This window comes from Homo sapiens, chromosome 1 (genome assembly GCF_000001405.40).
Source record: "Homo sapiens chromosome 1, GRCh38.p14 Primary Assembly".
Lineage (NCBI taxonomy): Eukaryota > Metazoa > Chordata > Mammalia > Primates > Hominidae > Homo > Homo sapiens.
Genome location: NC_000001.11, coordinates 187318767 through 187345873, shown reverse-complemented (window position 1 = coordinate 187345873; position 27107 = coordinate 187318767). Strand labels below are relative to the sequence as shown.

The 27107-nt window shown below is 34.8% G+C and overlaps 1 long non-coding RNA gene across 1 annotated transcript in view; it reads right to left on the bottom strand.

Moving 5' to 3' along the window:
* LINC01036 (long intergenic non-protein coding RNA 1036) overlaps window positions 1-27107 on the bottom strand; it is a 267403-nt gene that overhangs the window by 14371 nt on the left and 225925 nt on the right. The window contains exon 3 of the long non-coding RNA NR_126347.1: window positions 16814-16883. This is a non-coding gene — a long non-coding RNA (long intergenic non-protein coding RNA 1036). The remainder of the gene's footprint in view (window positions 1-16813; window positions 16884-27107) is intronic.

The following is a 27107-nucleotide window of genomic DNA, read 5'->3' as shown; positions in this document are numbered from 1 at the left end:
AAAACTGGAAGCATTCCCTTTGAAAACTGGCACAAGACAGGGATGCCCTCTCTCACCGCTCCTATTCAACATAGTGTTGGAAGTTCTGGCCACGGCAATCAGGCAGGAGAAGGAAATAAAGGGTATTCAATTAGGAAAAGAGGAAGTCAAATTGTCCCTGTTTGCAGACGACATGATTGTATATCTAGAAAACCCCATCATCTCAGCCCAAAATCTCCTTAAGCTGATAAGCAACTTCAGCAAAGTCTCAGGATACAAAATCAATGTACAAAAATCACAAGCATTCTTATACACCAACAACAGACAAACAGAGAGCCAAATCATGGGTGAACTCCCATTCACAATTGCTTCAAAGAGAATAAAATACCTAGGAATCCAACTTACAAGGGATGTGAAGGACCTCTTCAAGGAGAACTACAAACCACTGCTCAAGGAAATAAAAGAGGACACAAACAAATGGAAGAACATTCCATGCTCATGGGTAGGAAGAATCAACATCGTGAAAATGGCCATACTGCCCAAGGTAATTTACAGATTCAATGCCATCCCCATCAAGCTACCAATGACTTTCTTCACAGAATTGGAAAAAACTACTTTAAAGTTCATATGGAACCAAAAAAGAGCCCGCATCACCAAGTCAATCCTAAGCCAAAAGAACAAAGCTGGAGGCATCACACTACCTGACTTCAAACTATACTACAAGGCTACAGTAACCAAAACAGCATGGTACTGGTACCAAAACAGAGATATAGATCAATGGAACAGAACAGAGCCCTCAGAAATAATGCCGCATATCTACAACTATCTGATCTTTGACAAACCTGAGAAAAACAAGCAATGGGGAAAGGATTCCCTATTTAATAAATGGTGCTGGGAAAACTGGCTAGCCATATGTAGAAAGCTGAAACTGGATCCCTTCCTTACACCTTATACAAAAATCAATTCAAGATGGATTAAAGATTTAAACGTTAGACCTAAAACCATAAAAACCCTAGAAGAAAACCTAGGCATTACCATTCAGGACATAGGCGTGGGCAAGGACTTCATGTCCAAAACACCAAAAGCAATGGCAACAAAAGCCAAAATTGACAAATGGGATCTAATTAAACTAAAGAGCTTCTGCACAGCAAAAGAAACTACCATCAGAGTGAACAGGCAACCTACAACATGGGAGAAAATTTTCGCAACCTACTCATCTGACAAAGGGCTAATATCCAGAATCTACAATGAACTCAAACAAATTTACAAGAAAAACACAAACAACCCCATCAAAAAGTGGGCGAAGGACATGAACAGACACTTCTCAAAAGAAGACATTTATGCAGCCAAAAAACACATGAAGAAATGCTCATCCTCACTGGCCATCAGAGAAATGCAAATCAAAACCACTATGAGATATCATCTCACACCAGTTAGAATGGCAATCATTAAAAAGTCAGGAAACAACAGGTGCTGGAGAGGATGTGGAGAAATAGGAACACTTTTACACTGTTGGTGGGACTGTAAACTAGTTCAACCATTGTGGAAGTCAGTGTGGCGATTCCTCAGGGATCTAGAACTAGAAATACCATTTGACCCAGCCATCCCATTACTGGGTATATACCCAAAGGACTATAAATCATGCTGCTATAAAGACACATGCACACGTATGTTTATTGCGGCACTATTCACAATAGCAAAGACTTGGAACCAACCCAAATGTCCAACAATGATAGACTGGATTAAGAAAATGTGGCACATATACACCATGGAATACTATGCAGCCATAAAAAATGATGAGTTCATATCCTTTGTAGGGACATGGATGAAATTGGAAACCATCATTCTCAGTAAACTATCGCAAGAACAAAAAACCAAACACCGCATATTCTCACTCATAGGTGGGAATTGAACAATGAGATCACATGGACACAGGAAGGGGAATATCACACTCTGGGGACTGTGGTGGGGTCGGGGGAGGGGGGAGGGATAGCATTGGGAGATATACCTAATGCTAGATGACACATTAGTGGGTGCAGCGCACCAGCATGGCACATGTATACGTATGTAACTAACCTGCACAATGTGCACATGTACCCTAAAACTTAGAGTATAATAATAAAAAAAAAAAAATTCTAATTAAAAACATAAAAAATAAAAAAATAAATAAAAAGAAAAGAAGTTTAATCAATGGATACTTACTATCATTCTAAATATAACCTTACAAATTTACTAACTTCAAAAAGTCTTAAACTCATGAAGATAAAATGATGCCCTGTTTCTCAAATTTGGGGCTAGTATGGGAATTGAAATAAAACAAAATACACTTGATTATAATAATTTTACTAGTTTATATATCATTATTATTATTATCCTTGAAATTTATACAACAGGATTATTTTGGAAAAACAAGTATGAATAAGTGTTGCATTTCACCAATAAGGAGAGAAGTATGTTTGTGTGTAGGCAGAAAGTTAGAATAGGTTTTCAGACTTGGTAAAGGAGACGTAAGAATGAATTAATAGAAACCGAAGGGTTTAAAATAAGCTAGGACAACAAGTGACAATACATAAACATTGGGACAGGAATAGAAAGAATACATAATCTGGTAGGTACTTGCATAGCCAATTTTATTGTCATGTTTACTAACATAAAAGAACACCTTTTGTAGAAATTTGTAATATATCTTAGATATTATATTTACTAACTTAGATATTCTTAGATATTATATTAATTATAATATCTAGGAATTACTTCCTTATTTATGGTACAGTAAATTTCTCAACTAAAGACTCTTGTTACATTAAATATAATTCAATCGTAACTTGAGGAACTAGTCAAGTTAGTTTGACTTGTTTCGTCAAATTCTGAATACATTTGCTCAGAAAATTCATAATGTTGATCTGTCTGCAGCTTGATGATTTGTTAAAGCTTACAACCAGTTTCTTTCTATAAAATCAGGGTCCTGGCTTTGCTGGCCAGGGGGCCACAATTTTAGGGCTCTATTCTTTTACTCTGTCTCATACTGGAAAAAGCCTTTTGTCACTAGGTTTTTTGTGAAGTTTATCACATATAAAGTTATTTTCTAGGGTCGGGAAGAGCTTTTTCTCAAAGTCAAGATGAGATTTTTAAATGTCTGCTAAAATCCATACACATCTGCCCTACCATCAGACCGCAACTAACCAAAACATCTCTGGCTGTTTAAACACTATGTCCAAACACACTTTCAAACTCGTAAACAATTCGGTAAACCCAATAAAAGTAATGTATAAATAGAACATATGTAGCAAGGCTTTCTGACATTTTAAAAAATCAATCCATGTCATTGAGCAAAATTTCCTTTAAACGTAGAGATAGTCAAGTAAGTGGATAGAAGGGTTTCCAAGTCCTAGCATCCCTGAAGTAAAAGAAGAGTAATTCAACTTTCTTATTATTAGTTTGACTGTACAACTGGCTGCAATTTTTGAACACCACTTCTAGAAAAATTCAGTTTAAAATAGCATCAGTAAGACTCATATCAAGATTTTTAAAAATTGGATAGTCTGTTAACCAAATTGCTCTGTAAATTCACTCAATAATATGCTTCTGTGTAGTAGTCCTTTGTTACTACACGTTCAATGAGAGTCCTTACTTTTTTTTATCACACACCCTTTTATTACTGGAGTTAATGGAAATGAATACGACAACTTTAATTACTTGTGATTTGTTGATACAATAGAAATCTCTTCAGGTAATGCAAGAGGGCCCATAATCTGATTTACTTAATGGGTCATGGAAAATGCTATGCAGTCAGGAGTTATTTAATGCTTATTCTATACCAGATAGCCTGCTAAGGACTGGGAAAAATGTATTAGGTGCCAGAAAGATTGAAGTTGACCTAATCTGATATTTCAATAACATGCTTTGGTAAACTATTAGTTGGATGTAAGTGTGCCAAACAATATGCTTATGACAGGAATGTGTGTTTTAATTTTATACTGTAAATGCAATTTTAAGATAAAAAGATTTAGTATATTTAATAGTAGTTTACTAATGTTAATATATAACTTATAACTTTCCAAAAATGGTAAGCCTTCTAAACAACTTTTTGCTTGTGTTATTCTCCCAGTGGCACTCTGATTTTTAAAATTGAGACTGAGGATATGCATATATAATTTATATATATTATGTGTGTCTGTGTGTGTGTATAGAGATATATGATTATATAGTCTGAATCTGAATTATACAAATATATATGTACACATATATTGTTATATGTGTGTGTGTGTGTGTGTGTGTGTGTGTATAAAACCTTAAAGTATAACTTATGCTGTTACCATGTGATACGGTTTGGGTCTTTGTCCCCGCCCAAATCTCATGTTGAGTTTTCATCCCCACTGTTGGAAGAAAGGCCCAATGGGAGGGGATTGGATCTTGAAAGCGGATTTTCCCCATGCTGTTCTTGTAATCATTTACACTCAAAAACGTTATGTTTAGAAAGAGGCCCAAGAGCCAAAGAGAAGTCAGCTGCCTCATTCCCCTTTATATGCAAATAAAATTCATTTTAAAAGTTTGCTTTTATAGAAGTATTTGGGGATCTGATTCTGCTCGAATCACTTGTAATGGTGAGTTCTCACGAGATCTGGTTGTTTATAAAAGTGTGTAGCACATCCCCCTTTGCTGTCTCTTCCTCTTGCTCAGGCCACGTAAGACGTCCCTCCTTCCCCTTAGCCTTCCACCAGGATTATAAGTTTCCTGAGGCCTCCCCAGTAATACTTCCTCTACAGCCTGTAGAACTGTGAGCCAATTAAACCTCTTCTCTTTATAAATTACCCAGTTTCCGGTAGTTTCTTACAGCAATGTGAGAACAGACTAATACACCATGTGACGTATGCTTGTCATTTAATCATATCATTTTGAAATTCAATGGGGGTCAATATATTCAGCTAGTATTTATCAGGAACTCTGGCAAATAGCCTATCATGAGGACAGCAATCTTATCTGTCAGATGACTGGACAGTAATGATTCTGGAGATTCTGAAGAATTTTCCTCCCATCCCAGCTTTTGAAAGATTTACCTTTACAGACTGAACTGCAATAGCGTCTCCCAGGATACACTCAGAATACTCCAAATGAGAAGGTGATAAAGGTCCTGTTCTTGGGAAATCTTAGCAACTTTTTGCTTTTTATCACCAAGGCCTTAAGGCCATCAACTTTAAGTGTCACAGAATTGTGGCTAGTATTTGTTTAATTTCTTTTACATCTGTGACTATATATCCTTCATCATTCTTAATCTTGTATATTTTTATTTTCCTATTAAGCTGCTATTTTGAAAGAAGCAGTTCTGGATTCATGCATTCTTCCTGCTAATTCTTAGATTTTTACTTCATTTCGGCTTGTATATTTATTAATATACAATTAATACATTACTTTCCTACATTTTGGGGGACATTTTGTTGTTCTTTTTCTTAAAATGAACTTCAGTTTAAATTTATTAACATGAGCGTTAAGGAACTTTCCTTCTTAATAATGACATTATGTGCTTTAAGTGCCTCTTTATTCCTCTGTGAAGAGTCTGCCATGTGTCTCACAGGTTTTAAAAACACACTTTAACAAAAGATTATACAATTTTAGTGGAGTTTTTTAGATGCGATGTTGCCTAAGAATTATTTCCTAATTTCTAAATAAAATTTTATTCTTGACCAACTTTTCAATTTTTTTCCTGTGCATTTTTAGATTGTGATTTCAGAATGTGTCCTTTTATATATTAAATTTACTGTGCTTATCTTCTCTACTAGCTCCGTCCAAATCTTAAAAGGGACTCATTGATGTTTCATAGTACATTTGTATTTATCTCATCTATTTCATCTTGCACACTTTTGCTTTCAAAACCAAAAGATTGACTTAAAATATTATTTTCATTGCTGTCACAATAATACAAACTCTGATTTTACACAAGTGAATTTTTTGATCCCATTTATTTTGTCATTTTACTATTTTCCTATATACACACACATATTGTGACTTGCTCAAAAGCATTTCTTCTCAATTTTATTTTCTCTCACGCTATGGTCTTTTTCTAGTTGATTTATTATTTGGCTTGAGTATTTGCTCCAGTATTTTGTTCAAATAGGCTTTGTGGGTGATATTTTATCTCAATCCTGTCGTATCCACACACATCTTTCATTTATCTATACAAGTGAATGACATCTTGGGTTGGTATAAAATAGATCCATCCAATTTAGTCTTTCTTCAACTCAAATAAATGTTCTTCTATTGTTTATTCATTGTTTCCTCTCTGCCATTTGTTTCTTTTTCTCCTTCTGTACCTCATAGCATTGATTAATCTATCCTAAGATGCTCATGATTTCTATTCTTTTGCATTTTTGCTCTATGATTTAAGAAATTCTTGTTTTCTTAAGCTACCAACTATGCACTGAGTATCCTTTCCTTTTTGTCTCATTTTAAAAAATTGCTCTTATTATTTAAGTTGCTCTGTCTGCTTCATTGGCTCTGTTTGGTTGAATCCTCTTCATATTCTGTTTCTCTTCCTGTCTCCCTTCAGGTGTTCTTTTAAATCTCTGTCTATTGTTTGAAGTTGAGGTGTAGGCATGCATTGTGAGTTTCAGTAGATCTGTGAGTGATGTTAGGAGAAGCATTCTCTGCCACATGTGTGGTTTGACTTAGCTGGCTTTCAGTCTACTATTACACCACCAGCAGAGGGCTGCCATTTTCCTGTACTCTTTAATTTGGAAGTAAGGCAGGTAGCCCACCTTCTTAGCTCCTTTTTGGATGTTTGGAGACCAGAGAAATCAGATGCACTTAAAGGGACTGATGTCAAGCTTCCCACTGAAAGGTCTACAGATATCAGTGAACTCAGTATTTCCCATAATGCTCTGGGTTCTGATTGACACATTTGGGCAGTCTGACCAAGTGCCTAGCCTCCCTGCTGACCAACCAAATAGGAATTCCATACCTCTCCCTCAGTCTGGTTGCATAGGCATCCCAGACCTCATTCACACCAAACCACTTGCTGACCCAGTATCTGGCCCAGAGAGGGACATTTGTTGGAGTTCAAAGTGGGGCAAAAACTAAACCATTTTTCTCTTTAAAGACAAATTTCCACCACAGCATCTCTTTCAAGTTCATTAGAAATAAGTTTCTTAAACAATCACAACTTAAATAACTTTAAAACAAGAAATGCATTAGCATCTTTATTACAAATGTAATTGGTTTTCTTTTATTTTTCTTCATGGAGATAGGGTCACTAGCTAAAATACACCACTGTAAAATCTGCAATTTAAATTTCATTTCATGCTGCATTGTAGAAATAGTTTACATAAATAGCATCCATTAATCATTTAAAACAAAGGTTAAATGTAAATTAGGATTCTGTTATTTATTTCTATGATTATTTATGGGTTTCTAGTAAAGTTTGGTTTTTCTGAGGGTGAAAGAATTAATGTTTTTGAAAGTAAAATATCTTTAAAGTTGATAACTTACAGAAATAAATTGACCAGGGAAGAATGCTATAACATCACAAACAGCATTTGAAGCTAAAGAGCATGCTAGCTTTCAATCACAATTTTAATTATGTGATGATTTTATTGTGAAATTTCTTTCTTTAGGATTTCTATCTGTTGATACTAAATAACTACATTGAACATAATTCTAGGAAAAATGATATCTTTCTGGTGGCTTCACTTTTTTGAAGAGGGTTAAAATATTGGTTTCATCATCAGTTTATTCAACAAAAGAAGATAGTAAAAAATATACATCAGTATATATTGGTGAAGACTAGTATTAAACTACACTGACAAAGAGAAAAAGTATCTGGATAAACGCTCTGTTTTAGTGGTTTGTATAAATCATTATTCATCCCTTTATTAGAAAATACCTGAGTAATTGATCAACTTTTTATTCATCATTCTAAACTATTGCTCTTGGATAATTACAGTTAAAGTATTTCTATTCTTCAATTCGTTTCTTATGGTTCACTCTTTTATCACAGCTTGTGACATGATACTAATATCAAGAATGACAGTCTGAACTTTAGGAAAGAAGTTAAAAAATTTGATATCATTTTACTAAAGTTCGGTGTGAAAGCATAAAATATGTTACCTAAATTAAAGATATGTAAAAGAAATTAGCATTTTGATGCGTAAGAACGCAGAAATATTTAAGGTCACAGTCATTTTAAAAAGTGAAGCAGCAAACAGAACAATCATGTTTATTTCAGCACTCACTAGCATCATATTTTATTGTGTTTCATTCTTTATGTAGGCTGTTAGGGGTATATTTAGCAGTGATATTTATGAAATGGTACCTTTTCTGAATACCTAAAATGAAAAATGTTATATTCTGATGAGCAAATATCATTGTGGTTAGGCGTCGCTACCTCTTATTTAGTTTTCTAGATATTTTTGAGCAACAAAGTCCTGAGAAATATTTGAAGTTACAATAGGAAGTGTTCTTTATTAATACAAGAGCATCTATAATGTTGAATAAAAAATTTTCAATATATTTATAATTATTTTAACAAATTATTATAATATCCATTCATAGAAAATTTAGTTTACTAGGATGTCAATTTTAAATATCTGAAGCAAAGTTCAAGTAATTTTTTCAATAAACTATTTTAATGGCTTTACATTCATATTATTTTAAGATTATGTTATCCAGGGTGTGTTATATGCAAATACAACAGTTTGTAGCTCATTGTCTCACTCAGAATCATACTTTAATTATGCTCTAAACATATTTTGTGTTTCTCTTTGCTAGTCGAAGAAAGCAATTACACTTTAACTGTTCCTTTTTGATTAAATAATAATCAGAATGTATTAACTTGTTTAAAAAGTTAGATTACTCAACCTAGTGTCATTTAGAGAGTGGAGATAAATGAGTCAGGTTCCAGAAATCATTTTCAGGGCTTAGATAACAGTAAAACTTCTTACAATGAAACCAATCAACAGAAGTTTCAGTTTGAAATCTAGGTCTCCATGACTACCTCTAAAGGCGGTATGACTCCAAAATGATCCTTTACAATTTAATCTTCAAAATGAGTAAGGTCTGTATTTTAATATCTCCTGTGAAAAAACAATATGTATAGCAAGCACACAAGGGGAAACTTTACAAATTAATTTATGTTTTAGAACAAATGTCACACAAAGTACATTTTTGATACTATCCTGAAAGGACAAACATCAGCCCTTGAACACCATATGTGGTCTGCATGATGGCTTCTTGGCACCAATCCATGATCTATTTCCAGCAGTCACCATTTCAAAAATTTATGAGGACCTGGAAAGCACAGAAGGGCTAAAGAAGCCACTTGAGTTCTGCTTATTAGCATACTCATTAAGCCTAATCAATAATTGATGAACCATTTGTGGAAAACATATGGATTAAATTATATCTTGGCTTATACCATTCTGAAAAGTCATAAGTATTTTGACCCACTGTTTGCTGTGTAAACGTGTTGTCAAAACTGATTCCATAATAGATAATTGAAAAAATTTGAGCTTTCATCTCCACAGGCCAAAGCTATAAATTATTATGCCATATTTTAACAAAATATTTTAAAAGAATATAATACAGAAGCTATTGGCATGTAAAATTATTAGGATATGATAGAAACTTTTGAAAAATTTTCAAATAATCCTTTAGTAGTGCTTGAGAGAGGGAAATAAAGGACACTCATGAGCAAGTTACAGTGAAGATTTAAAATGTTAGGCTACCCCCAATGTTAAAGATACTCTTATGACACTGATCTTGGGGTGGTTTTGAGCTAAAAAATTCACATATTTTGTGTGTGATTATAAGATTTTAGAATCAGAATATTTTTTTAAAAAATGTTGATTTTAGAATAGTATTCTATTTACAAAAACACTGCAAACACAGTACAGTTTCCACACACCCTACACTCAATTTCCCCTATTATTAACTTCTTAGATTAGTATAGGACATTTGCCATAATTAATGAGCTGATATTAATATATTATCATAAACTAAACTTCATACTTTATTGTGATTTTAATTCTACTTGTCTTCTTTCTTTTTCTAGGATTCCCTCCAGGATACCACATTATATTTAGATGTCATGCCTTATTAGGCACCTCTTGGCTGTGACAATTTCTCAGACTTTTCTCATTTTAGAAGACCTTGATAGTTTTGAGCAGCATTGCTATTTTATAGACTGATCTTCATTTTAGATTTTTCTCAAGATTAGACTGGGTTTGGGGAGGAAGACTATAGAACTAAAGTGCATTTCCAGTCCCATTATTCTCATCACACTGTATCAAGGGTACATACTATTCACATGACTTACTACTGTTGATATTAGCCTTGAGTACCTGATCAAAGTTTTGTATTTTATTGCATGTAGCTTCTGTACACATTATTAAGGAGTTATACCTAAGTGTTTTTCTTTGTTGGTGTTATTTTATTTGGTATTATTTTTTAAATTTTTAATTCCAATTGCTCATTGCTGATACACCAAAAAAACGACTCTTGGTAATTAATCCTCTGACCTTGCCTGACTAGTTTACAAATTTTAGGATTTTGTTGTTGTGGATTCTTTGAGATTTTCTACATGGACCATCATGTCAGCTATAAATGAAGACAGTTACATTTTTTCTTCTCCAACCAATATATCTTTAGTTTTATTTTCTTGTCTTATTATACCAGCTATGACTTTCAGTAGAATGTTGAATAGCAATGGGGAGAGAGGAATTCTTTGCTCTTAATATGATGATGCTAGCTGTAGAGTTTTTGCAAACATTACAATACCTTTCAAATTAAAATGTTGCAAAGCCTTTTCATCAAAATTCTGTTCCAGAAATTGTATCTAGTTTTCACATATTTCTCTAGCTTATTATTTGTTCACTGTCAGATTTTTTTTTTTTTTTTGAGACAGGGTCTTGCTCTGGCACCCAGTGAAGTGCATGGCACGATCACAGTTCACTGCAACCTGGAACTCCTGGGTTCAAGTGATATTCCTGCCTCAGCTTCCCAGGTAGTTGGGAGTACAGGTGTGCCATCATGACCAGCTAATTTATTTATTTAGGTAGAGATCAGGTCTCACTATGTTGCCCAGGCTGGTGTCCAACTCCTGGCATCAAGTGATCCTGCCTCAGCCTCCCAAAGTGCTGGAATTACAGGTGTGAGCCACTGTGCCTGGCTAGGAAAAATTTTCTAATTCTGTCTTGGAGAAACATAATTTAGCTTTAATTAGTAGTTGGTAGAGACACAGGTTTAAATTTAAACTCCACATAATTCTAAAAGACCAGGAAATAATTATAATAATAGAAGTGTGACTAGACCATTTTGTAAATATAAAATAAATTTTCATAAACATCCAAGGGAAAAAACTCAGAAAACTGACACAATAAATGAAATTACATAATATAGACCAAAAAAAGAATACTCAAGAAATATTTAGTGCCTGACATTTAGGTAGAGAAACTCAGACCATAGAAGACACCAAGACAGCAGATATTTGGTAATTTATATTTTCTTCTTATTCTATCTATGATAATAATTTTGAAACACCAGGCTTCAGATTATTTCAGATACTGTAGGTAAAGAACTAAAAATCAGATTTGACAAAAAAGACATGAAGAATATTTTTCTTTTTTTAAAATTATTATTATACTTTAAGTTTTAGGATACATGTGCACAACGTGCAGGTTTGTTACATATGTATACATGTGCCATATTGGTGTGCTGCACCCATTAACTCGTCATTTAGCATTAGGTATATCTCCTAATGCTATCCCTCCCCCGTCTCCCCACCCCACAACAGTCCCCAGTGTGTGATGTTCCCCTTCCTGTGTCCATGTGTTCTCATCAAAAAGCTTATCCACCATGATCAAGTGGGCTTCATCCCTGGGATGCAAGGCTGGTTCAACATACAAAAATCAATAAACGTAATCCAGCATATAAACAGAACCAAAGACAAAAACCACATGATTATCTCAATAGATGCAGAAAAGGCCTTTGACAAAATTCAACAACCCTTCATGCTAAAAACTCTCAATAAATTAGGTATTGATGGGATGTATCTCAAAATAATAAAAGCTATCTATGACAAATCCACAGCCAATATCATACTGAATGGGCAAAAACTGGAAGCATTCCCTTTGAAAACTGGCACAAGACAGGGATGCCCTCTCTCACCACTCCTATTCAACATAGTGTTGGAAGTTCTGGCCAGGGCAATCAGGCAGGAGAAGGAAATAAAGGGTATTCAATTAGGAAAAGAGGAAGTCAAATTATCTCTGTTTGCAGATGACATGACTGTATATCTTGAAAACCCCATTGTCTCAGCCCAAAATCTCCTTAAGCTGATAAGCAACTTCAGGAAAGTCTCACGATACAAAATCAATGTACAAAAATCACAAGCATTCCTATACACCAATAACAGACAAACAGAGAGCCAAATCATGAGTGTACTCCCATTCACAACTGCTTCAAAGAGAATAAAATACCTAGGAATCCAACTTACAAGGGATGTGAAGGACCTCTTCAAGGAGAATTACAAACCGCTGCTCAACGAAATAAAAGAAGACACAAACAAATGGAAGAACATTCCATGCTCATGGGTAGGAAGAATCAATATCGTGAAAATGGCCATACTGCCCAAGGTAATTTATAGATTCAATGCCATCCCCATCAAGCTACCAATGACTTTCTTCACAGAATTGGAAAAAACTAAAGTTCATATGGAACCAAAAAAGAGCCCGCATTGCCAAGACAATCCTAAGCCAAAAGAACAAAGCTGGAGGCATCATGCTACCTGACTTCAAACTATACTACAAGGCTACAGTAACCAAAACAGCATGGTACTGGTACCAAAACACAGATATAGACCAATGGAACAGAACAGAGCCCTCAGAAGTAATGCCGCATATCTACAACTATCAGATCTTTGACAAACCTGACAAAAATAAGCAATGGGGAAAGGATTCCCTATTTAATAAATGGTGCTGGGAAAACTGGCTAGCCATATGTAGAAAGCTGAAACTGGATCCCTTCCTTATACCTTATACAAAAATTAATTCAAGATGGATTAAAGACTTACATGTTAGACTTAAAACCATAAAAACCCTAGAAGAAAACCTAGGCAATACCATTTAGGACATAGGCATGGGCAAGGACCTCATGTCTAAAACACCAAAAGCAATGGCAACATAAGCCAAAATTGACAAATGGGATCTAATTAAACTAAAGAGCTTCTGCACAGCAAAAGAAACTACCATTAGAGTGAGCAGGCAACCTACAGAATGAGAGAAAATTTTTGCAACTTACTCATCTGACAAAGGGCTAATATCCAGAATCTACAATGAACTCAAACAAATTTACAAGAAAAAAACAACCCCATCAAAAAGTAGGCAAAGGATATGAACAGACACTTCTCAAAAGAAGACATTTATGCAGCCAAAAAACACAGGAAAAAATGCTCATCATCACTGGCCATCAGAGAAATGCAAATCAAAACCACAATGAGGTACCATCTCACACCAGTTACAATGGCGATCATTAAAAAGTCAGGAAACAACAGATGCTGGAGAGGATGTGGAGAAATAGGAACACTTTTACACTGTTGGTGGGACTGTAAACTAGTTCAACCATTGTGGAAGTCGGTGTGGCGATTCCTCAGGGATCTAGAACTAGAAATACCATTTGACCCAGCCATCCCATTACTGGATATATACCCAAAGGATTATAAATCATGCTGCTATAAAGACACATGCACACGTATGTTTACTGCAGCACTATTCACAATAGCAAAGACTTGGAACCAACCCAAATGTCCAACAATGATAGATTGGATTAAGAAAATGTGGCACATATACACCATGGAATACTATGCAGCCATAAAAAATGATGAGTTCCCCTCCTTTGTAGGGACATGGATGAAGCTGGAAACCATCATTCACAGCAAACTATCACAAGGACAAAAAGCCAAGCACTGCATGTTCTCACTCGTAGGTGGGAATTGAACCATGAAGAATATTTTTCTAACAAACAGAGATACTTTATACTGCCCTAGATTAAAAATATTCTCATAAAGCAGAGTTCCTTTTGTATGTTTACAGCAGTAACTCTTTATAAATACTTTTTGAAAATACTGTTCTCCATTAAATAAATTATGCTCGGGTTGACACTCTTAATGTTGAATCCTGCAGTATTTAAATGCAATAATTGTTGTTTAAGGATAGTAATCATAGACTCAATATCAAAAATTGAACTATTAAATAATTCTGCTGCTGAAGAGTAATTTTTAAAGAAAGTTAAAATCATGATTTCTATAAGGTATAAAATAAATATGACAATAATCAGATAACTCAGAACAAAGTGCTATAGGCAATATATAGTTTTCCATGAGACATAATTTTTTTCTCTACACTGTCATTTGTTGTTTAATGTATACAATTCCCATTGATAACTCACTCGTAATCTAGTTGTCTTCTTAAGCACTATTTAGTTATTAACTGGAAAAGCTGAATATTGACAATGTGTGAGTACCATCACATAGTTAGTAGTTGAAAGAAGAAAAATATAAACAATGTGTGCCATTATATAACAGTATAATGTAATGAAAACATTTACAATGTGCTAATGACTGTCCTGAGAAGAAATTCAAACTCTGTGAAAGTTGGGGAGGCTGAAGTTAGGGTATTGAATGATCAGCTAACTTTGAGAGATCAACAGAAAAGGGTAGAAATGAGATTTCTAGAAATAAGGACTAAAGCCATGAAATTGAGTTTATGACTGGATTACCTTGAGAGATTTTTGTATGATTGCAGAGAGGTAGGTGTAGAAAAGAGATCAGTAGGAGGATACTGGGAATATTAGTTAGGGAGCTGTTGGCAAATGACCTCACATATCAGGTTAAAAAGTTTCAACTATGTTTCCTGGCCTCCATGAGTTGTAGGATATTTTAGAGCAGAGATTGGCATGTCTTTACATAAGATAATTGAAGTGGAAATTATAATTACTGACAATGACCACCCTAAGTAGTAAACCACAAAATGACAAAAATACAAAACACCCAACCCATCAACTGAGAATACATTCATGCTAGAGGCTAAACAAGCCTAGAAAGACAGATTACTAGTTTGGTCGTCATTCAGTTTGGTCATCCAATAAGAAAAAAATGAATATGAATTTCCAGTAAGTAGAGAACAAAAGATTGAAACTGAAGTAATTAAGTGCTTGCTGTTTGCCCATTGACCAGATAGTCACTGGTCATAGAACTATCTGCATTCTTTATGCTGCGTCACTTATTTTTCTATTTTTAGCTAATGATGTTTCCTTTTTTTTTTTGGTAATGACAATTATAATTCTTTAAAATGCTTATTTAAATAATCTTTATAGTTAAAAGGAATGATAAAGTCAAGTTGATATTTTTAAAACGTTTATTCTTAATTCGCAGTAAAAATGTGCAGATGACAGATTAAAGAGCAGAAGGGAGAGACAATTGTTTCTCTTGCTTCAGAGAGAAAAAGGAGCATCTTCATATGTTAAATCAAGCAAATTTTCTTTTAAAGGGTCAACTTTTGTAATGCATCACCTCAAAAAGGAGAATTTAAGAAAACTTTAAAAACAGAATGTATTGCCACCATCATATTGTAATTCTATATATATCTGCTACCCAATTAATTACATATTCTAAGATCATATCATTAATTCTCATATATATCTTAGGTTTTTGGTATATAGATGCCTGATACACTAGGCCAGTGGTTGTGAACCTGCACACCTGAAGTTTAAGGACTATGGGCTGTGGTAGATTGCATTAATAACTCCATTTTTCCCCTCTGGAAACTGCATTCTCTGCCAATGGATTTTGTAGTTAATCTATTAAAGAGGCAGGGTCTATTTATCCACTTTTAAAATCCAAACTCAATCATGTAAATTGCTTGGTCAATTGAATATAATAGAAATATGGCTTGTCAATTCTGATCTTAGGTTTCAAGAGACATTGTTTCTGCATGTTTCTGCATTTTTACTTGGAATTCTGCCATCACCATGAGAAGGCACTGCCCTGCTAACCCTCTGCTTCCAGAAGAGGATGACAACTTCTGTTGAAGAAACAAGTTGAATCTGCTGACTCCAGGCAAGAGCAGCTACTCTATAATCTTGAGAAATGCATGCTAAATTACTTAACACCAAAGTTTTCTGATTGTTGAGCAGCATTATAGTGGTGGCATATAACTTACACATGGGTGTCTTTTTCTCAGAAGGCACTTGTGCATATATACATGAAATATTCATGTATTCTTGGGGAGCAAGTCTTATTTTTCAACTGTTAACTGAATATGAGAATAAAACTCCTAACCCCAGACCAAAACAAAGCAGACATTTCTAGGTTACTTGTGGTTTATTTCTATATAAAATATTTTTCAAAACCCAGTCTCCCTGGGATATTTGAAACATACCATGCCCTTTGGCAATTTTTTTTCCTGTAGACCAGTTTTTCTAATCATCTGTGTTCCAATGTTTTCACCACATTTTGAACGCTGACATTTGTTGAGGCTGTGTAATGATTCTTCACTTAGAAAGTCTTGGTATTTTTTTTTTTTTTTTAGATAAAACGTGCTACAAACACTTTCAACTCTTTTTATAGTCACAATAAGTAGTTATGTACTCATTTGTGTTCAGGCTAACTTCCATCTTCTATTCTAAGCAATATCGTTTATTCTAGTTACTACTTTTCTACTTACCTTAACCAATTTTTTTTAGCTTGCAAAACATTTTAAAAATAGCATACATAATGTTTATTCTAAAAATCAACTTTAATTCATAGCTCCAATAATTACTTCTAAATTATACTATTTCACATACTTACCTTTTACTGGACAAGGTAGAGTTACGGCTACTGGAGGTGACTTAGATATACTTCCTGATTTTACAATCTCCTAGAAATACAAGATGAAAACATATAGTACACAATACAGATATATTTATACCCATTTAAAAATGTAAGGTGCAGACTACATGCTGATTCAAAAAAAGCATAGGTATGTTGGGGTAACCAAAGAAAACCCTAGTAAAAATCTAGTTCAAAGTAAGTTACTAGACCCTTTCAAACATTATAGCATTACTTATTGGATGTTCCTCAGAGTTTGGGAAAAATACACATCTGTTCCCACAAATTTGGTTGTTTTGTGAATCCACTGAAGATTACTCTGGATATTCTTTTTTCTTTTTTTGAGACAGAGTTTCATTCTTGTCACCCAGGCTGGAGTGCAATGGTGCGATCTCAGCTCACTGCAACCTCCGTCTCCCGGGTTCAAGCGAGTCTCTTGCCTCAGCCTCCCAAGTAGCTAGGACTACATGACAGTGCCACTACGCCCGGCTAATTTTGTATTTTTAGTAGAGACAGGGTTTCACCATGTTGGCCAGGCTGATCTCGAACGCTTGACCTCAGGTGATCCACCTACCTCAGCCTCCCAAAGTGGTGGGATTACAGGCATGAGCCATCACGCCCGGCAGATATTCATTTTAAGTTTAGTTTGAATCTAGAACGTCTTATATAATTTTGAAGCTTCCTTTCAAACCAGTATTTGGTAGAATCCCAAAGGGACTTGACATCCATTTGAATTTTACTGAAAACACTCCAGGGAGATTTTCTTTTTCTTTTTTTTTTTTGAGACAGAGTCTCTCTCTGTCGCCCAGGCTGGATCGCAGTGGCGCGATCTCAGCTCACTGCAGGCTCCGCCTCCCAGGTTCACACCATTCTCCCGTCTCAGCCTCCCGAGTAGCTGGGGCTACAGGCGCCTGCCACCACGCCCGGCTAATTTTTTGTATTTTTTTTTTAATAGAGACGGGGTTTCACCATGTTAGCCAGGATGATCTCAATCTCCTGACCTCGTGATCTGCCCATCTCGGCCTCCCGAAGTGCTGGGATTACAGGCGTGAGCCACCTCGCCCGGCATCCAGGGAGATTTTCAAAGTCAGTCAAAATTCTCAGAGAAGAGCAATGATACAGTTCATTTACATAAGCAGAACTCAAAATGACTAAGAATTTTTTAAGTATTACATGAAGTAGAAGATAAACTTTATCTTATAAGCTATTGGAACTATAACTTTGTTTTATTTATTCATTGAACAAATATTTATGGTGCACTATTTTTTCTAGGTATTATCCTAGGTGTTTTCAGTTTTAGTGCATTTTTAATTTTAGTGCGTTGACCACATAGTTCAAATTCTAAGATTTAGCATGAAGTAATCAGAGAAACCATGAGAAATGTAAACACGAGGATGTTCCTTGCAACTTTGTTTATAACAAGAAAATCTGGAAACAACTTTAAAGAAATAGAGGACAGGTTAAATACGTTATAGCATACTGATTTGATGATACATTATGCAGCAATTGATATTGTGTTATATGAAACTTGAATGTTGAGAGGAAACGTTCATAATACATTGAGTGGGAAAAGTTAAATATATAATGATATATACATATATATATGACTCCTCTTATTTTATAATTTCTCATTTTTTGATGTATCATATTGCCTGAACTGAGATTACAAGAGACATTTTGAAATACAAAAGTTTCTGTCTTCTCAGTGGCAGGGGCTTGAATTATTCTTTGCATTAGTTTTCTTCTGCCTGAGGAAATTTCTTAAATGAACCCTTAAATTGTTCACATATAAGGCAAATACATACTCCCTATTTAGAAGGAAAAACCTGGAAGAAACCTGTAACTTGGATGCAAATATTGTTCTCAAATAATGTCCCAAATATTCTGTGGGGTATGCATTTTATTATGGTTCTTGTTTTAAATGAGAGAGTTCTCTCTGCAGAAATAGTGTCTTATAGAATTTTTCTTGTTCTAAATATGGAATTTGATGGTTCTGTGCTATGCACTTCAACTCACTTTTGTGAAGCTGTGTTCTTTTTTCAGTAGTTAATTGCGGGAGGTGCAGAGCAGAGGCACAAGTTGCTGAAGAAGGATGTATGGATCTCACTTTCATCTGACCCTGCAGGGGGTAAAGTGGAGGGGAAAATAGTGATCCAGGCAAAGCTCAGTCTGTACTGGGTTGTTATGGATGACTGTATCCATAATTTATTGCTACATTGCAAATCACTCTAAAACTCTGTGGCTTCAAACAATGCTAGTTTATTATGATTCACAAGTCTGCAGATGAGCTGGAGTTTGACTGATCTAGGCTGGGCTCTGCTAAATGTTTCTAATTCAAGAGGAAGTTGGGACAGCACCACTTCTCACAGCAGAACTGTAGATCATATGTCTTTTTCTCACTGTCCTTGAATATGTGAGCTAGGTGGAGCAGGTTTTTCCCGGCAATGACAGAGGTTCAAGAAGCACAAGTATCACATACAAACTTTTTAAGTTTAGTCTTTGAACCGGCATAGTCACCTTTTCCTTTCCAACATTGGCCACACAAGTTAGAAGGGATGCATAACGTTAAGGTGTGTGGGCATCCCCTGTACCTACAGTGAAGCCAACAATGCAACCTTTCACAATGTTGTGTAAGCATGAAATACCTTGACTACGGGAAATGCGCCAACATCGGGATAGTGTTTTCTGCTGTGACCCACTGAAGTCAGTGCAGGAAACTACACCCCTGAGTGTTGGTTCTTCTCTAGAGTATATAAACATCACCCACTGTTAATCATTCTTTAAAAAATCACAAATTCTGTGGTTCGGTTGTGGCATTCTTCTCCATGGGTCTTGTTCATGTTAAGCCTTTGTGATCAATCATATTCCATGGTTTTAGAGGTCTGTTCTCAAAAATGATATCAAATTGTACAACAAAGCAGCCATGTCCTAAGTTTTATGTACTAATTTAGGTTTCTTTGAAAAGTGTGGCCTTTACCTATAGTCTCTAATTTTTAATAGGATTTCCTTCGATCTTTCTTATCTAGAATAGCTAGCTCAGGGTTTAATCCTCATTCTTAAAAGCATGAATAGGCAGAAGATTATCGTGGTCATCATAAACTAAATACATTTGGTTCATTTACTTTTGTTATTTTTATATATTTAGGGGGTACAAATGCAGGTTTCCTACATGCTTATATTGGATAGTGGTAGAGCCTGGGCTTTTAGTGTACCCATCACTTAAAGAGAGTACATTGTATCCAGTAGGTAATTTTTCAACCCTCACCCCCATTCCGACTTCCCACTTTATGTAGTCTCCAATGTAGGAATAATAGCCATTTGTATCATTTAAATTAAAATTTTGTAACACTCAGCCTCTTAAAAGGCAGTTTATTTGGAGATATATTGGTAAATTAAACAAAATGATGTGGCATTTCCTTCACCATACCTCAGTTCAAGAGTAAGATAATTCTTACATGATGCCACATAGGGCTTGTGAGTCTATCACTGAAAGAAACAGTAGAGGCAGAAGTGAGCACTCTTATCCAGACTGATTCTTCATGCATAGTTATTGCTAAATCCCAACTTCTATATTGGAAAAGCATCCAGACCAGGGTTAGGAGTCACTTGATATCTCTCAGTTGTGCAGCAGCATTCATTACAATAGCTAGGCCCACTGATTCATCAGGATCTGTTTTACCTGGGACACTTAACTCCTGCTTCAACACTGGTACTGAAAAGAAGTAAAGCTAAATATATTTAGGGAATGTATCAATGCTTTATGGTAGTGACTGAGGATAATATTCTTTAGACAATTCCTCTGCCATTATCCACTTGATGATGACTCTTATTAGTATGTCTTTATTCTTTCTCCAAGAAGAACTTTAGAACATCTTTAATGCACATAATTAAATCAGCACAAAATTTTATAAGTTAATTTTTACCATGTCTTATATATATCCATCTTACATCAAACTTGCAAATATTTCTCTTATTTTTACATAAGATAATTATTTTCATACACTGTCCTGATATAGAACATTATAGACCACTGAGATTATTGTATCTGGTTAATGTTTCACCAACACTTCTTGTCACATATTCCAGAATGTAAAAAGATATGAGAATTACATAACAATCCCAGGATGTAAAAGACACCATTACATGGCATAGATCACATGAAGAGAAAAACATATCCAAAAAATGATGATTTTATTTTATGATATGCTATTAGGAAAGATAGAGGGGGGCATCCAAAGAGGCTAGGGTTGGAGAATCTGAAGTCCCACTGTGCAATAGATGGGACTTTAAAGTATTAAGATTTAGTTAGAGATATTAATATTACCTAATTTATACTTATATGTTTGTAAGTCCAATTATTTATAATAGGAATTAAGCACTCAAAGATGTCTTCAGTGATTATTTAAAATAACAGTAATAATAAACAATACTGTCCCTGTTAAAAATATAAATAGGAGCAGGTGTCCTTGAATTTCTGTGGTGAAAGGTAGAATCATTGAAGTGCTCCCTTCATGTTTTCTATGCCATCCCATAGTTCAAGGATATAAATCAAGAGTTCCCAGATCATGGAATTGGTTGTTGGGTATGAAGGTGGATGAGAACCACAATAGGATTCCTGGCCAATTGCCTTGATGATTTAGGCTTTGGTATCACATTGAATGTCACTAAATGGACATAGAAATTCTCACCTACCCATACCAATTTCAACTTATCAAAAAGATCATAAATTTAGGAAATAATATATGTAAATGGACCTTGAAGATCATTTTTTCTTTCCATTTGTCCTAATCTGGTCTGCTATAACAAAATGCTGTAGATTGGGTAGCTTGTAAACAACAGAAATTTATATCTCACAGTTCTGGAGGCTGAAAAATCCAAGATCAAGGAATATTTGATTTCTGGTGAGAGCCTATTTGTTGGTTCATGGATGGTGCCTTCCAGCTATGTCTATAAATGATAGATAGAAGGAACAAATAAGCTCCCTTGGACCTGTAAGAGTGTTAATCTGATTCATGAGGGGTCCTCCCTCATGATCTCCTATGATCATGATGGGACCTCCCAAAGGTCCCAACTCTACATACCATCACCTTGGAGGTTGGACTTTCAACAGGGAACACAACAAACATTCAAATCACAGTGCCATTTTTCTGTTTCTGTGCTGTGATGAGTACAGGTATAAATTGCAAATTATTCTAGAAAATTAGATCATTGATGTTTTATCAAGTGTAACAGAGAAAAGATAGAGATTAAAATAAGATTAAATATTACTAAACAAATAATAATGTCCTGCATTTTCTTTTTTGTTCCCAGCGACCAATCCACTCAATCCACCCTTACAAACTTCAAGAACAAGAAGTTCTGTAACATTTTCCAGCTTCAACTGAAGCTCATATTATAGTTTGTGAATGGTCTTTTGCTGCTTATTACAATACTGCAAATGGCTTTGAAAAGAAAACACAGATTTCAAATGCAGAATGAAATTTTCATGCATGAGACAAAATATCAAAGAATATTATTTAATATGATCTGGCTGTTATTCTGAAATTTCATTTGCACTGAATTATTAGCGTGAAGGAATGAAATGTTTTTGAAAAATGATTTAATAATCCCAAGAGTTATTGGTTCATATCTGAAAAAGAATAGTTGGTTTCTTGATGATTAATTAGAATGTGATGAATAGTGTCAGATAAAGGAGTAATACTAGGCACATATTAATGATAATAGAACTTAGGTATCTGTTCCACATTACAAAAACCAGTGACATCTTAACAAAAAAAAATAATGTAAATGCATGCTATAAATCTTGTTTATGATACATTTATATGTGAGGATTTGCCTTGTGTATAGGTATTAAAATATTTTTAAAAGTTACTTAGGGTAGGCTCATTTGCCATTATTTTTGGCAAAAATTTTTTGTTCATTCGGTTTTTTCTTCCACTATTCATGTACTTTTGCCTAATGCCTTAAATTATAAATAGAAACCCAAGCACATGCACTGGAAGTTTCAACAACTGGACTGAAATAACTCTTAAATATCAAATGTTGAGGAAAAGAAACTTCTAAATAATTTTTAGAACACCAAAGTCTGTAAAAAAAAAAAAGGCCATTAAGAGGTTCTTAGATGTATTCTTATATATGAAGAATAGTATTTTCTTTTTTTAAAATTTTACTTTAAGTTCCAGGATACATGTGCAGAATGTGCAGGTTTGTTACATAGGTATACATGTGCCATGGTGGTTTGCTGCACCTATGAACCCATCATCCAGGTTTTAGGTCCTGTATGCATTAGGTATTTGTCCTAACATTCTCCTTCCCCTTGCTCCCCAACCCCCAACAGGCTCTGGTGTGTGTTGTTCTGATGAAGCTGGAAACCATCATCCTCAGCAAACTAACACAGGAACAGAAAACCAAACACTGCATGTTCTCACTCATAAGTGGAAGTTGAACAATAAGAACACATGGACACAGGGAGGGGAACAAGAATAATATTTTCTAATTACAAATTGGATGCTTGCCAGGGATATATTGTAATACATTTTTTCCCTCAAAGACAAATGGTATATAATTTGAGATTGGCTCAAATCATTTTTAAATATAATGTTAATTATATTATTGTAATATTGATTATAGCTAGTCATTTTCTAGAAAATATAAATTCTATAAAATACCAATTCTACAAAAATGAAGCTCAAATTTATTGTCAAAATGTCTGATTAAAAGGATAATATTTATAATTACTCTGAAACTCATCATTAGGAGATAATCAGAGTTTCTATTATTCAATTTACTTGATACATTTTTGTTGCATTCCAAAAGTTCATTTGGAATTTAATAATTAATTCATTCAGCAAATATTTACTGGTTGAACACTGTGTCCCAAACACTGTGCTAAGAGCTGGGATAAATCACTGAACAGTACAGACATTGTTCATAACCTCATTGTGCTGACAGTGTATTTGGAGAAACGTATATAGAAAAATGTAACAATTAAAAGTAAAGCACTTTGGGACGCCAAGGCAGATGGGTCATTTGAGGTCAGGAGTTCAAGACCAGCCTGACCAACATGGTGAAACCTGTCTCTACTAAAAATACAAAATAATTAGCCAGGCATGGTGGTGCATGCCTGTAATCCCGGCTACCTGGGAGGCTGAGTGAGGCAGGAGAATCTCTCGAACCCAGGAGGCGGAGGTTGCAGTGAGCTGAGATCGTGCCAGAGTGAGACAACTCCATCTCAAAAATAAATAAACAAATAAATAAATGTAAACAGTGTGGCGAAAGAAAATACATACTACTTTGGAAGTGGGTATAGGAAAAACAAATGGCTTATAAAGTAAAACAAAAATAAAAAATGCCACACACACACAAGCAAAAACAAGATGCTTAAGCTATGACTCGAAAAATGAATGTAACTCAGATCATAAAGAGAGGTTGGGGGAAGAGTCAGGATGAAGTGTTGGGGAGGGCAGAGTCTGGGAAGTGTGAGATCATTCTAGGAACTAACAAAAACTTCTAATAGGGGAGATTCAGGGTTCATCTCAGGGACTGGATGGAGGAACATACGACTGAAAGATAAAAACTGAAGCAGAATATGTCATGTGATGTTTAGGTGAGAGTGTAGGTCAGGACTTTATAGACCATATTTTGAAATGTTGTCCTTATGAGCAATGGGCATCTACCAAAATTATTTTAAGAAGGAAGTGAGCTGATAGATTTGAATGTCTGAATGATCTCTCAGAGATTGAATTAGAGTGTGGCTGCGGTAGTTGTTGCAAAAGGACGGCCATTGCAGTCATCAAAGTAAGAGATAATGGCTTCAAGTGAAATGGCAGTGGTAGAATGCAAAAAATAAAAAATGTTTGCAAAATAGTCAAGGTGCAGAAGTTATGTCAGTTAATGAATGTTTATGTGTAGGGGTTAAATGAAAAAAATGTGTCAAAAATAATCTCCAGGTATCTGATTTGAAGAGCCCAATGGATGGTGGTGCAGTAAAACGTAACAGAAGAACCACATTTGAATTTGGGAAAAATGGTTTCAGTTACAGACATATCGCATGTGAGTTATTTGCAAATTATCCAGGTAAAAATCAAGTCAACAGTTGTATATACAGGAGATAAGAACATAATTCAAACACTGTGTTATCACAGTACATTCAGTCATTCAACAATGATAGCAAAATTAGGAGCCTATTATCCTAGGCACTATTTTTCCATTTGGCATTTAGAAGTGAAGTATCTGTCCAACACATCAAAATTTTGGGGGTTTTATTAGGAGACAGGAGGGATAGGCAGTCAGCAAAAAATAAAAATAAGTATATTCATATGATCCAACCTGAACTGAATTTAATGTTTAAATTATGAAAAAATTGTGATTAGCTATTAAAATGAGATTTTCTTTAAAAATATTACCACAGACCACATGAAAGTACACCAACAGAAACATATGCATACTGTTTATCAGTATTATTTTCAAAATATTAGTAGCTATAATTTGGTCTGTTCTACAGAAAGCACAATGAGAACAGCTTTCTGCTAACTGTACCACCAGGAAAACTGCAAATAAACTTAATGGAAAATTTGAGTTACAGTAAATTTTATACACTGTGAGTCTACTTTGAGGGCTGGTGTGGATAAATGGGTGGCAGAATGCTGAGATTAAAAACTCGTGTCTGTTACTCCCTTGTCTTTAAACTTCAGAATGTTAACCTTAAGTATCCAGATGAATGAGAAGTATAGGAAATATAAGTTAAAGAAATTTGAGAAGGATGGAACTATTATAAATGTAGTATATATTCTTTCAGGACATTCCCAATATATGCGATTAATGACAAAGTAGGCACATCACAAAATAATTGATTATATGAAATACATCAGAATATTTTTCAAATTTTACTGGTGTATAGTTTAAGCCATTATGATTTGCAGTTTAGCATTTTAAGTCCCATTAATTGTAGAATAAAGTCATGCTTCATTTTTGACAATTAAATACAATTTTACTAGAAGGGAGAAAGAACTCCGAATTGGACTCAAAGGAGAAATCTTCTTTAAAGGTCACCCTTATTAAATGGCATGACAATTTGATTATGCCAATCATGTTTAATACCCCAGACTATTCTCAACAAAGTGGCTGGAGTGACACTTTAAAAAATTAAAGTAAGATCATGTTATTCCTCTACTCAACATCCTACCAAGTTTCTACATGTCCCTCTGAATAAAAGCCAAAGGCAGTACAATAACATATCAGACCTTATAGGATTAATTTGCCCATTGCCCACCTGTCTAACATATCCTATCACTATTCCCCTTGGCCACTGTACATAGCAGCCACACTGGTCTCCTTGCTCTCTCAAGAATACCAAGCTTGTCCGTCTAGGAGCCTCTTGTACTTACTATTTTTACCTCCTGGAAATGCTGTTTCTCCACAGGGTGATATCAACAGGATGAGCTTCACCTTATCAAGTCTCTGACCAAATTGTATCTTCTCAATGAAACTTTTCTTGACCACCTCATTTAAAATGAAAGTCATTACCTAATGGCACTACTTATCTCCCTTTTCTTCTTTATTTTATTACTTTTTGCAGTAGCATTTAACAATCTTTAAAATAGCATAAAATTTATGTGCATATTATTGATTTTTTTGCCCTCCTCACTCCATAAAGAAAGCCAGCTACAAGATCCTATTGATATTTCTCTCTTTTACTTACTTCAGCCTCCCGAATAGCACCTCACAGATAGAAAGTGCTCATTAAAATTTGATGAATGAATGGATGCTTGTTATATACTATCCTTACAGAAGCATATTAAAATCTTTTTGTGAGTAAACATTCAGAAGAAAACTGGTATACTTCAGGTTTCTACTAGGGATGTAAATCTAAGGAAAAACAAGTCCCTCAGAAAAGAGACAGATAGCACGCAGGCACTTTCTTAACTGAGACCAATCCAGTTGGATATACCTAAAAAAAGAATTCAGCTAAAATTGTTAAAAATTCATAAAGGCTGAGTGTGGGCTACCGAGAACCAAATCTGACAGCACATTCATTTTGGACCTCCCAACTTCCAGAACTGTCAGAAATAAATGTCTGTTGTTTAAGCCACCCAACTATGGTATTCTGCTATAGCAGCTTGAGCTAAGATGCCATTTAAATACAAAGACATGGATAGGTTAAAATGAAAGGATAGGAAAAAGAATACTACGCAAACACTATTCAAAAGTAAGTTGGAGTAGCTGTCCTTCTATAAGACAAAGTAGACTTCAGAATGAGAATATCACCAAAGAA